This window comes from Homo sapiens, chromosome 2 (assembly GCF_000001405.40).
Source record: "Homo sapiens chromosome 2, GRCh38.p14 Primary Assembly".
Lineage (NCBI taxonomy): Eukaryota > Metazoa > Chordata > Mammalia > Primates > Hominidae > Homo > Homo sapiens.
Genome location: NC_000002.12, coordinates 149,750,635 through 149,768,138, shown reverse-complemented (window position 1 = coordinate 149,768,138; position 17,504 = coordinate 149,750,635). Strand labels below are relative to the sequence as shown.

General features: G+C 36.4%; 2 long non-coding RNA genes across 2 annotated transcripts in view; one reads left to right on the top strand and one right to left on the bottom strand.

Moving 5' to 3' along the window:
• The window catches only part of LINC01931 (long intergenic non-protein coding RNA 1931), a 91,686-nt gene extending 91,053 nt beyond the window's left edge, over positions 1-633 (top strand). Inside the window, exon 5 of the long non-coding RNA NR_145421.1 lies at positions 230-633. This is a non-coding gene — a long non-coding RNA (long intergenic non-protein coding RNA 1931). The remainder of the gene's footprint in view (positions 1-229) is intronic.
• The window catches only part of MMADHC-DT (MMADHC divergent transcript), a 260,877-nt gene that overhangs the window by 80,096 nt on the left and 163,277 nt on the right, over positions 1-17,504 (bottom strand). The window lies entirely within an intron of this gene.

Genomic DNA, 17,504 nt, shown 5'->3' with positions numbered 1-17,504 from the left:
ATTGTAAAAGCTCAAAGGAACTGAATAAAGGAAAAGTCCAAATTTGAGAAAAGGTTGGAATTTCACCATAATCTGAAGGGCAAAAAGAACCCATCGAACATGATTCTTAGAATCAAACCATTTCTCATGTGGAGGCTGAGCACACGTATTTCATGGGCTAAGGTAAAAGCAGGGAAGGTTGAAAATGTTTGTCTCTGTTATAGCTGCTTCTTTTTGGCTCTTCTCCCAGCAGCTTCAGTGCTGAGGCTAATGGCAAAGGAAACACCAGGGGATCAGTGAGTAAGAACTTGTCAAGGGAACAAAGTCTGAAGATGGAACGGAGGAAGAGGAGAAAATCTTCCACCAAAAAAAATATTAAAATCTGATCTTCAAGGAAATACTGAATCCACATAGCACTCCCCTCCGCTCCCTTCTTAGGCACAGCATTACTCACCATCTCACAGAGGAGAAACAGAAATATAAAATAAAAAGTGGAAACAATCATTAAAAATACTTAGCCACTCCCACGTGTCCTGGGAAACTGAGAACACAGTAACTACCAAACAAATTACATGATGTCACATGCCAGATACCTAAAGGATAACATCACCCCATCTTCAGAAACAGAAGAAAATAAAATAGCAAAAGCAAGAGAGCCATAACTACATCATATATATCTCTCCTCCCATATTTCTATGCAGTATTTCATACAAATATAGAATGTATGACAATGCCAATGAGAAAAAAAATGCAATAGCAATAGAGTTTGTATATAAATGTTCATGTCAGCTTTACTCATAATAGCCCCATACTAGAAACAATCCCCAAGTCCATCAATAGGTAAATGGATAAACAAATTATAGGACATACACACGATGGAATATATGCAGCAAATAAATAAAATGAAGGAGTATGCAAACCACTGATACATGCAATGACATGGATGTATTTTAAAATTAGTGTACCGAGTTAAGTAAGCCAGACCAAAAGATTACAAAAGAAATATCATTTACATGAAATTTTAGAAAGAAAACAATCTTTAAGAGAGAAAGCAGATCAGTGGCTGGTTGGGGAAAGAGGGTAGCTGCTATTAATTACAAAAGTACATGAGATAGTTTTGGGAAAGCTGATAGAGATGTCATATATATGATTATGGTGGTGGTTATAAGAGTGTAAACATTTGTCAAAACTCAATTTAACATTTAAGAGAGGTGTATTCAATTACATGAAAATTAAACATACTTCAATAAAGTGTATATTTAATGCAATGCATGCAAGAAGGAAAAAAAAGCCTAAAACTTGGATATTCTCTTTAGAGCCTATGCCTATACCAATAAGTATAGGTAAAAATATAAATATAGTCAGAATATTGGTTGTATACAGCCACTGGGATGTTGTTTTATGTGGCATTTTTTATCCAAAAGTAAGAGAAGACTCCCTTCTCTTTGCCAGGCTCCAGATGGGCAAATAGCTTTTTTGTAAGGCAGGGAATAAAAGATAATGGAAATTCCAGAGACAGTTTTCAGGCAGAGACTGTTCTTCATTTTCTACTCAAGATATTATTAAGCAATAATTAGATGTTACACACATAGTTTCTCAGCCTTCTCTTAGGACATGTCTTGGCTCAAACTGTTGAGAATACTGGGAAGCACTGAAAGCAGCCCCACCTCCCATCTAACATGGAGTAGACAAAAACACATGCATTCATAGTCAACTCTGTGGATACTGTAGCCACACTCTCCCCATGAGATTATCTGTTTCTTTTGTTAGCAAAAACAAATAAAAACAAAATAGTTGACAATCATGTTGTTGAATTATATAATTTTTCTTTCTCAACTTTGACATTGAAAGGCAAGTTTCTCCTGTTCTCTAATGAAAATACAACAAAGGAGCGAGCATGCAAAAATTATCTTCACATAATATAAAATATAAAGGCTGCAGAAAATTTTTTTCTGTCGTTCTTTTTCCCTACAAAGTTAAAACTTAAATAAATTATCTGGTAGGTCTAGAACAGCCTAGGCTTTGCTGTAACATTAAATTCTGTGTAGTCAGAGTTAAACAGTAAGTAATAATGTTCTACCAACTTAATATCTACTTTTTTTTCTAATATGTACAACAACCATAAGAGATAGGTTCTGTTACTAACACCATTTGACATATGTAGAAACTGGGATACTGAGAGTGAGGTAAACTTATCTGCAGTTGTACAGCTAGAAGTAGGTATACCTAAACACAAATTTAAATAGTCTGTCCTTAGTTTACACATTTTTAACCACCACACTATACTGCATTGTCATTTAACAAGTGAACAGGCTTTGACCTGCCATCAACAGGTGTCTCCCTTGCCTGCCATATGTCTTAATTGGTCTATCTTTGCAGAATTATGGGCTATGTTGATTCAAAGTGCCAGGCATGGTACTAACATCTGAATCTCCAGGAAAGTGGGTTCAATGTCAATGAAAATTTTCAGAAACCAATCTGTAGGGGCTATTTTTCTTTTACCTGATATTTAGGAGATCCCAAAGAAAGGTATATTCTAAGCAACACAGTCATTTTTCCTTTTTTCTTAAATAAAAAATAAAAGGCATCACATAGTATGCTAAATGCAACACTTTTCATGGTTTAATTATTGTATATCTAATTAAATATGGTAAGCCTCATTTTAGATGAAAAATGGGTTTTGACAGACTAAATAAGTTATTGAAGGTCAAGCATCTAGTAAGTGTTAGAATTCAGAATCAAAACAAGTTTTGTCTGATGCCAAAGTCTGCATCACTAATCACTAATCTGTAAAGATTTAACAACATAAGGTGATTCGCTTTTCAGCCAACTATGACTGACCCTATATGGGGATAATTCTAGGAGAAACTTAGGAGATGGGGAAGGGCACTAAATGGCTGAATCTGGCATCGATTGCTGCTTTTTTCCTACCTCAAAGAATAATCTCTAAAGTAACTATGAATTGCCTATTGTGTGAATGAATCCTGTATGACTAATATTTGTAAGTGCTAGCTTAAATACCTGTTGCAGAACTTTTGCTACCTGAAAATCAAAAACAAATACCTGAAAAGCATATAATTCATATTTGAGAATATTCTGCTGAAAAGGTTCTTATGAACATGGTGTGAGGTGATATGCCATATCTTTCTACCTTCCATATGTTCTCCATTATCACTCAGGATCCTGGAGGTCTGTTGTAAATATTAAATGAAAAAAAAATTTATTTGGCTTCAAGTACTGAATCCAAGAAGGTTTTTATTTTAGGTTGCCTTATTTATTTCATTATTTCTGATGTATATCAATAAAGTTTCTGAAATAGTATTATATGCTTAAATAATATAATAGGGGTAAGAAAACAAAGACTTTAAAGAATCCTAATGACTCATGGACTTAAAATAAAAAGATTGTATTCCTTTTTAACATAAAATAGAAGGATTTGATCCTAGTAAAGTTTTGTCTTTCAGATAGCTAAGATAGTTGACAACTTTTTTTTTTTTTTTTTGAGATGGAGTCTCACTTTGTCACCCAGGCTGGAGTGCAGTGGCGAGATCTCGGCTCACTGCAAGCTCCGCCTCCTGGGTTCACACCATTCTCCTGCCTCAGCCTCCTGAGTAGCTGGGACTGCAGGTGCCCGCCCAGCTAATTTTTTGTATTTTTAGCAGAGACGGAGTTTCACCGTGTTAGCCAGGATGGTCTCGATCTCCTGACCTCGTAATCTGCCCGCCTCGGCCTCCCAAAGTGCTGGGATTACAGGCAGATAGTTGACAACTTTTTGAAAACGTTTTCTTTAGCTTTCCATAACATTAGTATAAAGCTTTTTTATTTTCAATTTATTGAAATCTATGTTCTAAATATTCAAGATCTAAAGTGATAACAAATTTTGGGGGATAAATAAAATGAGCGATCTACAGAGCAACCTAGCACACCAACAAGCATAAGCAACAGAGTCTCAAGAAAAGCCTGCTCCTTCTAGCCAAATGACCAGAACGGGGCAGCCTAACAATACAGAAAATTTTTAGACAGTAAACACTCTATTCACACCAAACACCACAGGAAAACCTGAATTCCAATGCATCCCCACAAACACAGACTAATTGGTGAGCCTAGACTTTTACTTGCACACAACCATAACTAAGTGTCCCTTCAATCCCCACCAGAGTGGTGGCCAAGGGGAGAGCAGAAACTTTTATTTCCACCCCTGGTAACAAGCCCTTTTCCAGTTGTGGCATCAGTAGAGACCACAGTAGGGTAAAGGATGATTCTGTAATTCCACTCTCACCCATCCATAATGAAGTGCCCTGCCAATGGGGTTGGTATCAGAGGAGGCATAGTAGAGAATCAGAAATTTCACCATCTCCCAGGTATGATAAAGCTAACCTCCCCATACCCTCAACCCACAAGTGTCAGTGGAAGCTAGTAAGAAGCAGTAATAAAGCACTTCTGCCCTTCCCAGCCAGCATGGTATCAGTGAAGACTTAATGGAGAGCCAGAACTTCCAACTCTGCCTAACAATAATGAGAAATCCCTCCCCAACTGAGGTGTCACAAGAGGTTGAAGAGGGACCCTGGACTCTACTACCATTTGTCAGTAATGACGTAACGCCTTCCTTTAGAGGACGCCAACAAAAACAAAAGATTTAACTAAGATCCATGGTCTCATAATGAAATACCCAAAATGCGCCGGTACGGTAAAAAAATCACTTTGATGTCATAACAAGAACCAGACAAATTGCAGCTTAAATAAGAAAATATAGTCAATAATTCACCAGATGACATAGATGCTGAAAATCTCTGACAAGGATTTTAAAGCAGCCGTTATAAAAATATTGTATTAAGTAATTTACAAGCATGCTTGAAACAAATGACAAAGTATATCTTTTGCAAGAAAAAAATAAAATAGGAGACATGAAGAACCAATGACCAAATTAAAAAATAATAATAATCTCACTGGATAGGCTCAATAGCAGAATGGAGAAGACAGAGGAAAGATTCAATGAACTTAATGTAAAACAATAGAAATTGCTCAATCTGAAGGACAGAGAGAAATAGACCTTAAAAAAAACAAAATAATCAGATACCCAGAAACCTATAGATCCATAAGAAATATCAAATATATGTATTATAAGGGTACCAAAAGTAGAGGAGAAAAAGGGTGTGACTAACAGGTATTTGAAGAAACACTGGATATCCATTGGCAAAAACATGACTCTTCACCTAAATGACAACCTTATACCAAAATAAACTCTAAATGGATTATTGATTTAAATAGAAATTATAAAACTACAAACTTTTAGAATATAATGTAGGAGAAAATCTGTATGACCTTTAGCAGGGAGTTTTTAGACATGTTATCAATAGCAAAATTTATTTTTTAAAAAATCAGTTGATTAGATTTCATCAAAGCTAAAAGTTTGTCTCAGGAAAGACACTGTTAAGAGTATGAAAACACAAACTAAAGACTAAGAGAAAATATCTCACGAGACCTATATCTAGAGCATGTAAAGAACTCTAACAAAACTTGAAGATTAAGAAAAAATAAAATTTTAAAATAGACAAAAGACACGATGAGATATTTCTTCAAAGAAGGTATACAGATGTCAAATAAGCACATGAAAAGATATTCATCACTAGCCATTAGGGAAATACAAATTAAAACCAAAATGAATTATCATTATGCATTTATTAGAACATTTAAAATTTATTTAAAAAAACAGTGACAATACCAAATTTTGGCGAGTATGTGAAGATATTAGATCTCTTTTTTTTTTTTTTTTTTTTTGAGATGGAGTCTCACTCTGTCACCCAGGCTGGAGTGCAGTGGCGCAATCTCGGCTCACTGCAAGCTCCGCCTCCCGGGTTCACGCCATTCTCCTGCCTCAGCCTCTCGAGTAGCTGGGACTACAGGCGCCCGCCATCACGCCTGGCTAATTTTTTATATTTTTAGTAGAGAAAGGGTTTCACCGTGTTAGCCAGGATGGTCTCGATCTCCTGACTTGGTGATCCGCCTGCCTCGGCCTCCCAAAGTGCTGGGATTACAGATGTGAGCCACCACGCCCGGCCGACACTAGAACTCTTATACATCGCTGGTGGGAAGGTAAAATGATAAACTACTCAAAAAAATAGGTTAGCAGTTTCTTCAAAACTAAACATATACTTAATATCTAACCTAGCAACTGCACAACTGGGCATTTATCCCAGAGAAATTAAAACATATGTCCACACAAAAATCTGTACACAAATGTTCGTATCAGCTTTATTTGTAAATAGTAAAAACCTAGAAACAACCAAAATGCCCTTTGACAGGTGAATGGCTAAACAAACTTCAGTATATTCATATCATAAAATCCTACTCAGCAATAAAAATGACACAATTTACAACATGGATGTACCTTGAGGGAATTATGCTAAGTGAAATAAGTCAGTCACAAAAATACAAATACTGTGTAATGCCACTTACTTGGGGTATTTATAGTAGTCAAATTTATAGAAACACAAAGTAGAATGGTGGTTACCAGAGGCTGGTGGCAGAGAGCGGGAGAGGGGAGTTTTGTTTAATGGGTATAGAATTTTAGATTTGCGGCCGGGTGCGGTGGCTCACGCCTGTAATCCCAGCACTTTGGGAGGCAGAGGCGGGCGGATCATGAGGTCGGGAGATAGAGACCACCCTGTCTAATACAGTGAAACCCCATCACTACTAGAAATACAAAAAATTAGCCGGGCGTGGTGGCACGTGCCTGTAGTCCCAGCTACTTGGGAGAATGAGGCAGGAGAATTGCTTGAACCCACGAGGCGGAGGTTGCAGTGAGCCGAGATCGCGCCACTGCACTCCAGCCTGAGTGATAGAGCGAGACTGCATCTCGAAAAATAATAATAAAATAAATAAAAATAAAAAATAGATTTGCAAGATGAAAAAGTTTAGAGATCTCTTTCACAGCAATGTTAACATTTGTAACACTACTGAACTGTACACTTAAAAATGTATACTTAAAAAAGTTGAAAGGAGGATTCAACATACACAAATCAGTAAACAAAATAAATCGTATCAAGAGAATCAAGGACAAAAACCATATGATCAATAGATGCTGAAAAGTGTTCAATAAAATTCAACATCCTATTCACAATAAAAACTCTCAACAGATTGGGTATAGAAGGAACATACCACAACACGATAAAGGCTACATATGACAAGCCCACAATTAATATCATGTTGCATAAGGAAAAATTGAAAACCTTTCTGCTAAGATCTGAAACAAGACAAGTATGCCCATTTTTACCACTTATTCAACATAGTTCTGAAAGTCCTAGCCAGAGCAATTAGGCAAGAGAAAGAAAGAAGGGGCATCTAACTTGAAAAGGTAGAAGTCAAATTATTCTTGCTTGTAGACTGTATGATTTTGTATTTAGAAAAGCCTAAAGACCCCACCAAAAAAAACCTCTTAGAACAGAAGCAAACATTTAATAAAGTTGTAGGATACAAAATCAACATATAAAAATCAGTAGCATTTCTATACATTAACTGCAATCTATCTGAAAAAGAAATCAAGAATGCAATACCATTTATAGTAGCTACAAAAGTAAAATAAAATACCTAAAAATAAATTTTACCAAAGAAGTGAAAGATCTCCACAAGGAAAATCATTGATGAAATAAATTAAAGAAGATACAAAAATGGGAAGAAATTTCATGATCATGGATTGCAAGAATTAATATTCTTAAAATGTAGGCCAGGCACAGTGGCTTATGCCTGTAACCCCAGCACTTTGGGAGGCCAAGGCGGGCAGATCACCTGAGGTCCGGAGTTCGAGACCAGCCTGACCAACATGGAGAAACCCTCTCTCTACTAAAAATACAGAATTGGCCGGGCATGGGGGTGCATGCCTGTAATCCCAGCTACTCGGGAGGCTGAGGCAAGAGAATCGCTTGAACCCAGGAGGTGGATGTTGCGGTGAGCCGAGATTGCACCACTGCACTCCAGCCTGGGCAACAAGAGCGAAACTCTGTCTTAAAAAAAAAAAAAAAAAAGTCTATACTACTCATTCAATGCCATCCCTATCAAAATACCAATGACATTCTTCACAGAGATAAAATACAATTTTAAATTTATACGGAACCCACAAAAAACTTCAAATAGCTAAAGCAATTTTGAGCAAAAAAACCAAGGCTGAAGGCATCCCACTACCTGACTTCAAAATGTACTTCAAAGCTAAAGTAACAGAAACAGCTTGGTACTGGCATGAAAACAGAAACAGACCAATGGAACACAACAGAGAACCCAGAAATAAATCCTATAACCCAGAAATTAATAAATATAACTAGAGCTCCATCTTTCACCACAAACAAAATCGAAAAATGGATTAGATTTAAATGTAAGTCTTTAATGTAAAGGAAACTTTGAAACTACTAGAAGTAAAACACTGAAGAAGTGCTACAAAAGACCCATGCATAGGTATGTTTATTGCAGCACTATTCACAATAGCAAAGACTTGGAACCAACCCAAATGTCCATCAATGATAGACTGCATAAAGAAAATGTGGCACATATACACCATGGAATACTATGCAGCCATAAAAAAGGATGCGTTCATGTCCTTTGCATGGACATGGATGAAGCTGGAAACAATCATTCTCAGCAAACTAACACAGGAACAGAAAAGAAAACACCTCATGTTCTCACTCATAAGTGGGAGTTGAACAAAGAGAACACATGGATACAGAGAGGAAAACATCACACACTGTGGCCTGCCAGCGGGTGAGGGGCTAGGGGAGGGATAGCATCAGGAGAAATACCTAATGTAGATGATGGGTTGATGGGTGCAGCAAACTACCATGGCACATGTATACCTATGTAACAAAACTGCACATTCTGCACATGTATCCCAGAACTTAAAGCATAATAATAATAATAATAAATTTTAAAAATCATTGATCAGGGCAAAGATTTTTTTGTATAAAACCTTGAAAGCACAGGAAACAAGAGCAAAACAGACAAACGGGATTACGACAAGCAAAAAAGCTTCTGCGCGGAAAAGGAAATAATTAACAAAGTAAAGAGACAATGTACAGAATGGGAGAAAATACTTGAAGCTATCCATCTGACAAAGAATAAATAATCAGAATACATAAGGAATTCAAACAACTCAATAGCAAAAAATAAGCAATAAGCCAACTAAAAATGTGCAAAATAAACATTTTGAATGCCTGAATAGACATTTCTCAAAAGAATACACACAAATGGTAAACAGGTATATTAAAAAAAAGTTCAACATCACTAATCATCAAGGAAAGACAAATCCAAACCACAATGAGAGGTCATACCACCCTACTTAGGACGGCTAATATCAAAAAGATAAAATATAACAAATGCTGTCAAGGAAGGTGAGAAAGGGGAATTTTATATACTGTTGATGAGAATGTAAAGTAGTACAGCCATTATGAAAAACAATATGAAGTTTCCTCAAAAAACTAAAAATAGAACTACCAGATAGAGCAATACCACTGCTGGGTATATGTCCAGCAAAAAAGGAAATCAGTATATTGAAGAGATATCTGCATTCCTATGTTTATTGCAGCACTATTCACAATAGCCAAGATATAAAATCAACCTGGTGTCCATCAACAGATGAATGGATTAAGAAAATAGGGTATATATACACAATGGAATATTATTCAACCATAAAAAAGAATGAAACCCTGTCATTTGCAGCAACATGAATGAAATTAGAAGTCATTATGTTAAGTGAAATAACCCAGGCACAGAAATACAAATTTCACATGTTCTCACTCATATGTGGTAGCTGAAAAAGTGAAGCTCATGGAGATATAGAGTGGTGGTTATTGGAGGCTAGGAAGAGAATTGGGGAGGAAGGGATGAAAGAAATTATGTTGTTTTGTTTTTTCTTGAGACAGAGTCTCACTCCGTCACCCAGGCTGGAGTGCTGTGGCGCTATCTCAGCTCACTACAGCCTCCGCCTCCCAGGTTCAAGCAATTCCTATGCTTCAGCCTCCTGAGTAGCTGGGACTATAGGCGCATGCCACCATGCACAGCTAAGTTTTGTATTTTTAGTAGAGACAGGGTTTCACCATGTTGCCCAGGCTGGTCTCGAACTCCTGACCTCAGGTGATCTGCCTGCCTCGGCCTCCCAAAGTGCTGGGATTACAGGTGTGAGCCACCATGCCCGGCCAAAGAAGTTGTTTAATGAGTACACAAATACAGTTAGAAGGAACACATTCTAGTATTTGATAGGACAGTAGAAAAATTATAATTAACAATAATTTATGATATATTTCAAAATAGCTGGAAGAATTGTAACATTCTCAATATATAAAAAAAGATATATGTTTGGGGTGATGGATATCCCAATTGTCCTGATTTGATCATTACACTTTATATACATCTATCAAAATATTACATGTACCCTCAAAATATGTAAAACTGATATATCAATTTAAAAATACAAAAATAAGGTTAAGATGGTACATTTTATTGTGTGTTTTCACCACAGTTAAAAAAAAAGTCATGGTAGGAGGAGTGTGTGGGAGGCAAGAACTACTGATATGTGCAGCAAATTGAATAGATCTCAATGGCATTATGCTGAGTGAAGAAGCCATCCTTAAATAGTCACATATTGTATGATTCTACTTATATAACATTTTCACAATTTAAAAATTGTAAAAGTGGAAAAGAGATCAGTACTTGCTAGGGATTAGGAATTGTGTGTGGGAATGAATTATAACTATAAAGGGGTAACATGAGGGACATCTTTGTCATGATTGAATAGTTCTGTATCTTGATTGCATTGGTTGTTCTGTGACTTTCTATACATGTGATAAATGGCATATAACTACACACACACACAGTCCCAACATCACTTTCCTAGATTTGATATTGTGCTATACTATGTATTATATTGTACTAAACTATGTATTAGTTTTCTATTGCTTTGGCAAGAAATTCCATAGATTTACTGGTCTTAACCAACGCAAATGCATTATCTCAGAATTGTGTAGGTCAGAAGTCTGGGCATAAAGTGGCTCAATTGACTATTTGCTTCTGGTTTCACAGAGCCAAAATTTAGATGTCAGCAGGGTTGCATTTCTTTCAGGAGGTTCTGGGGTTGAATCTGCTTCCAAGCTTATGTGGGTTTTTGGTAGAATCCAGTTCCATGTGGTTGTAGGACTAACGTCTCTGTTTCTTTGCTGGTTGTTGGCCAGGCTCATTCTTAGTTTCAGAAGGTTGCTTGCATTTCTTGGCTCACGACCTCCTTTCTCTATCTTAGCTAGCAATAGCAAGTCAAGTCCTTTTCATATTTAAACCTCTTAGACCTCTCCCTCTGCTTCATCTGTCCTCTGATTTTCTCTTCTACCACATCTCTCTGACTCAAATTGGAGAAATCTCTCTGCTTTCAAGAGCTCGAGTGATTAGATTATGTCCACCTGGACAATCCAGGATTTTTTTTTCTATTTTAAGGTCCATAACCTTTATGACATTTGCATAGTTGTTTTACAGCAGTAACTAGTGTTTGACTGAATAATCAGGGGATGGGAATCCTGTGGAGACTTAGAATTCTGCCTATCACAATTGTGCAAAATATAACCATTGGAGGAAATTGAGTAAAGGTTACATGAAACCCCTCCATATCACTTTTGCAACTTCTTGTAAATGTGTAATTATTTCAAAATAACAAGCTTTTAAAAATGCATGGAAGAAAAAAATAAAAACAATATAAACAAATATATTTTCTATCAAGATTATTTTGCACTACTGGAAGACCTACAATGAAAGAAAGGCTAAGAAATGTCCTCCAAATAAAGGAAAAATTATTTCAGTGGACACATGGAATTGTAGGAAACAAAGAACAGTCAAAGGGGTAAATATATGAAGAAAATCTAAGTTAATATTACTGTTATAATTAAAATAATATATTGGGCTTAAAAACATATAGAATTGAAATGCATATCAAAGATAGCATAAGAAGGAGGAAGGAATTAAATGGAGTTCAAGTGTTTTAATGTCTTTGCACTGTCAGGAAGTTTTAAAAGTATTAAATTACAGGTGACCCTAATAAAGCCTAAGGATGTATATTATTTCCAGTGCAGCTACTAAAGAAACAATGAAAAAAGATGTAATTAACAAGTCAACGGAAAAAGAAAATACTGCATTTACTGAAAAGATAAATAGAAAAGACTAAATATCAGATGGGACAAAGAGAAAACTCAAATATACCAACAAATGTATTAAATGTAAACAGAACAATATTCTAATTGAAAGATGAGGACTATAAGAATGAATAAGAGAAAACTATATGCTGCTTAGAGGAGATACATTTAAATATAAGAAATCAAATTGAAAATAAAAGAATGGGCCAGGTGTGGTGGCTCACACCTGTAATCCCAGCACTTTGGGAGGCCAAGGGAGGAGGATCACTTGAGGTCAGGAGTTCAGTACCAGCCTGGTCAACATAGAGAAATCCCATCTCTACTAAAAATACAATAATTAGTCAGGCACAGTGGCAGGTGCCTGTAATCCCAGCTACTCAGAAGACTGAGGCAGGAAAATCGCTTTGCTTGAACTGGGGAGGCAGAGGTTGCCATGAGCCAAGATCATGCCACTGCACTTCAGCCTGGGTAAAAAACTGAGACTGTCTCAAAAAAAAAAAAAAAAAAAAAAAAAAGTAAAGGAATGGAAATGGAAAAAAATAGATAAAATTACCTTCTCACAAAATGAGAAACCCTAATATAGCTATGTTAAAATCATTTTTTTAAAAGGAGGTTATACTGCTTTGGATCCTGGGTCAGAGGAAAAAAAAAGAAGAAGAAAAAGAGGTTTAAAAAGGCGATAAACAGTAACATTTCATTTTATGGTGATGAAAGTCCCAACATTCTCAGAAGACATCTTTGTTTTTTTTAGGTTTTGAATTTTTTTTCTATTTCTTTATATATATATATAATTTAAGTTCTGGAATACATGTGCAGAAAGTGCAGGTTTGCTACAGAGGTATACACGTGCCATGGTGGTTTGCTGCACCCATCAACCCATCACTTACATTAGGTATTTCTCCTAATACTATCCCTCCCCTAGCGCCCCACTGCCTGACAGGCCCCAATGTGTGATGTTCTCCTCCCTGTGTCCATGTGTTCTCTTTGTTCAACTCCCACTATGAGTGAGAACATGTGGTGTTTGGTTTTCTGTTCCTGTGTTAGTTTGCTGAGAATGATTGTTTCCAGCTTCATCCATGTCCCTGCAAAGGACATGAACTCATCCTTTTTCATGGCTGCATAGTATTTCATGGTGTATATGTGCCACAGTTTATTTATCCAGTCTATCATTGATGGGCATTTGGGTTGGTTCCAAGTCTTTGCTATTGGGAACAGTGTGACAATAAACATATATGTGTATGTGTCTTTACAGTAGAATGATTTACCATCCTTTGGGTATATACCCAGTAATGGGATTACGGGGTCAAATGGTATTTCTGGTTCTAGATCCTTGAGGAATCGTCACACTGTTTTCCACAATGGTTGAACTTATTTACACTCCCACCAACAGTGTAAAAGCATTCCTATTTCTGCACATCCTCTCCAGCATCTGTTGTTTCCTGACTTTTTAATGATCCCCATTCTAACTGGCATGAGATGGTATCTCATTGTGATTTTGATTTGCATTTCTCTAACGACCAGTGATGATGAGCTTTTTTTCATATGTTTGTTGGCTGCATAAATGTCTTCTTTTGAGAAGTGTCTGTTCATATACTTCGCCCACTTTTTCATGGGGTTTTTTTCTTGCAAATTTGTTTAAGTTCCTTGTAGATTCTGGATATTAGCTTTTTGTCAGATGGAGAGATTGCAAACATTTTCTCCCATTCCGTAGGTTGCCTGTTCACTCTAATGATAGTTTCTTTTGCTATGCAGAAGCTCTTTAGTTTAATTAGATCCCATTTGTCAATTATGGTTTTGTTGCCATTGCTTTTGGTGTTTTAGTCATGAAGTCTTTGCCCATGCCTATGTCCTGAATTGTATTGCCTAGGTTTTCTTCTAGGGTTTTTATGGTTTTAGGTCTTATGTTTAAGTCTTTAATCCATCTTGAGTTAATTTTTGTATAAGGTATAAGGAAGGGGTCCAGTTTTAGTTTTCTGCATATGGCTAGCCAGTTTTCCCAACACCATTTATTAAATAAGGAATCCTTTCCCCATTGCTTGTTTTTGTCAGGTTTATCAAAGATCAGATGGTTGTAGATATGTGGCATTATTTCTGAGGCCTCTGTGCTGTTCCATTGGTCTATATATCTGTTTTGGTGCCAGTACCATGCTGTTTGGATTACTATAGCCTTGTATTATAGTTTGAAGTCAGGTAGCATGATGCCTCCAGCTTTGTTTGTTGTTGTTGTTGTTGTTGTTGTTGTTGTTGTTTTGCTTAGGATTGTCTTGGCTATATGGGCTCTTTTTTCCTTCCATATAAAATTTAAAGTAGTTTTTTCTAATTCTGTGAAGAAAGTCACTGGTAGCTTGATGAGAATAGCACTGAACCTATAAATTACTTTGGGCAGTATGGCCATTTTCACAATATTGATTCTTCCTATCCATGAGCATGGAATGTTTTTCCATTTGTTTGTGTCCTCTCTTATTTCCTTGAGCAGTGGTTTGTAGTTCTCCTTGAAGAGGTCAATAATTCTCAATGCAATAATTCACAATATGCACTAATAGCACAATACCAAAATGTATTATGTAAAAATGGACAAAATTAGCAGGAAAATTTGACATAGCCACACTATCATTCAATACTTTAGTAATTGTTGATAACATAGTAACTGACTTAAAAAGCCTATAATAAATCAAAAAGGATGTAAAATATTTGAATGAGATGATTAACAAAATCAATCTAATTTACATATGTACATATATATATAAAACAGTAAACACATTTGAAAATATGCAGGTTATGCACCTCAGACCTTCACAAAAATGGAAATATGTGCATATAGACCATACTGCTGTTCTTAAGAAACCATATAAATAATGTTCCCTTACCACAGAGGAATTAAAGCTGAGATCAATAAAAATGGTAACTAGAAAATAGCCAAATATGTGCAAACTAAGCAACACATTTCTAAAGAACCCATGGGTCAAAGAAAAAAACTAAAGTGGAAATTAAAAAATATTTTTGAAGTAAAAATAACTAAAATATAGCATATCAAAATTTGCAGGGTATAGTAAAATCTTGTGCTTAAAGAAAAATTTATAGCTTTATATACATAGATTAGGAAAAAATGTAGGGCTAAAGATTCAATTACATTTCTCAAGAAGTTAGAAATAGCTGAGCAAATGTTATCCTGTTCTTTTACAAGTATTTCAAATCCTTGAGTTTTGAAAGAGCAGCCTTCTAAATTCACCTATGCTTTCAAAAGATGTTGTTGTTGTTGAGTTTAGAATGATGGGTTTTTCCTGTAGGAATTCACCATTAGTCAGTTTATTGGGTTTAATCAAAACATCCAATTTATATTTGAAATTTTTGCTGCATATTGTAAAACCGTTGTAGTATATGTGTCTTCAAGGAGCTTTAATGTGGATAATTTTTGTAGGTTGAAATGCTATCATAAATATTAATAAATGCTTTTAAAGCTCTGAGAAATCTGCCGATAAAAAGAGCAATATAAATGTAAGTTTGGTTTTTCTAACCATTTGCAATATTCAGAATAAAAGAGAAGAGAAAAACTGAAATATGAACTGAACAACAAAATTGGAGTGTTTACTTCTCTATTTTTAAAACAACTTGGACTCAGAGGAATAAAAGATAAGGGTTGGTGTAAAATTGGTTTCTCAATTCATGTATGAGAGTTCTAAAAATAAGCTAACTGGCTGAAGAGAAACATCAGAAGCTCTTAAAACAAGCAACTAATATTCCTCAAACTTGATTATAATGAGAAAGTAGATATCAAATATGGTCCAAACTCTGGTGACTGCATTGCTTATTGTTCATTCACCAATTAATTCATTGAACCATTTATTAATCCAACAGATCTCCATTCAGTGTCTATTCTTTGTCAGGCATTGTGCTATTGCTGAGATGCAACCATGAGCAAACCAAACATTTTGTTTCCTCCTGGTGTTTATAGTCCAGTAGAAGACAGCATTTAAATAGTCATATAAATAGATAGGTAAGCACAAACTGAGATTCAGTCTTAAAAGACAGACATGTAGGCCAGGTGTGGTGGCTCATGCCTGTAATCCCAGCACTTTGGGAGGCCCAGGTGAGTGGATCACCTGAGGTTGGGAGTTCAAGACCAGCCTGACCAATATGGAGAAACCCCGTCTCTCCTAAAAATACAAAAAATTAACCGAGCGTGGTGGCACATGCCTGTAATCTCAGCTACTCGGGAGGCTGAGGCAGGAGAATTGCTTGAACCTGGGAAGGGAGGTTGCAGTGAGCGCAGATCGTGCCATTGCACTCCAGCCTGGGTAACAAGAGTGAAACTCCATCTCAAAAAAAAAAAAAAAAAAAAAAAAACTGATGTGTAGGTGTTTTGTGATCAAAAAATTGGGGATTTACTCTAGGGAGTCAGGGAAAGCTTCCCCTAGCATGTCTTATGTGTGCCATGAGCTGCAGTTCATGATAAAGACTGACCAATTAGGTGAAGGCGAGAACTGGAGGGGAAGAACCTTCTAGCACAAGTTAAGGCTTTCCAGTAGGTGTGGGAGGGATCATTCGGGGACAGAATCAAAGCCAATGTGGCTGAACAAGGAGTTGGAGTGGGGAGTGTGCAGAGAGTGAGATGAAGTTTAAAGGTCAGCAGAAACCAGATCACAAGCATCAAATGCCTCATGGGCCATGTTAACAGTTTTGAATTCCTCCCTGGGAAAGGGCTGTAGCAGGGAAGTGACATGGCTAATTCAGCATTTTTAAGAATATCACTTTGCCTGTCGTGGGCCATGCAAACTGGATTCAGGAGACAAGTTATGATCTTGTTGTATCAGCATAAGTGAGAAGATGGGAGCTTGGAACAAGGTTCAGAGGACAACGCTGCCTCCTGGAAGCCAAAACTCTTTCCAATGTGAGTATACTTCTCTTTTCCAAATCTACTTTCAGTGATTACCACTCTGATAGGCAAATATTCTCACTATCATCTACCCAAATTATTCCTGGTCTTCCTTCTACCTTTGTTCCAATTGCTCCTTTCTTCACAAATGTCATCTTCTTCATTTACTTATACCACAACCATTTTATACATCCAAGCTCAAGTTCCATCTCCCCACTTCTTTAGATAATTCCCACCCACAGACACATAGTTCTTTCTCTACATTGACCATATGCTAGTACTTCCTTTTCCTCTTCCTGATGAAATTATAAGCTACTTAGGGAAGGAAATGTGTCTTACATTTCTCTGAATTCCCCTGTAAGACCAAGAACAAGGCTGGGATTAAGTGCAAAACACCCTTTAAACCTAATCAAATTTCACTGCAATGAAAAATGTCTAGTATATGGATGATAATTTGGAAAAATACTATGTTCCAAGTTGTACTAAAAACAAAAAGG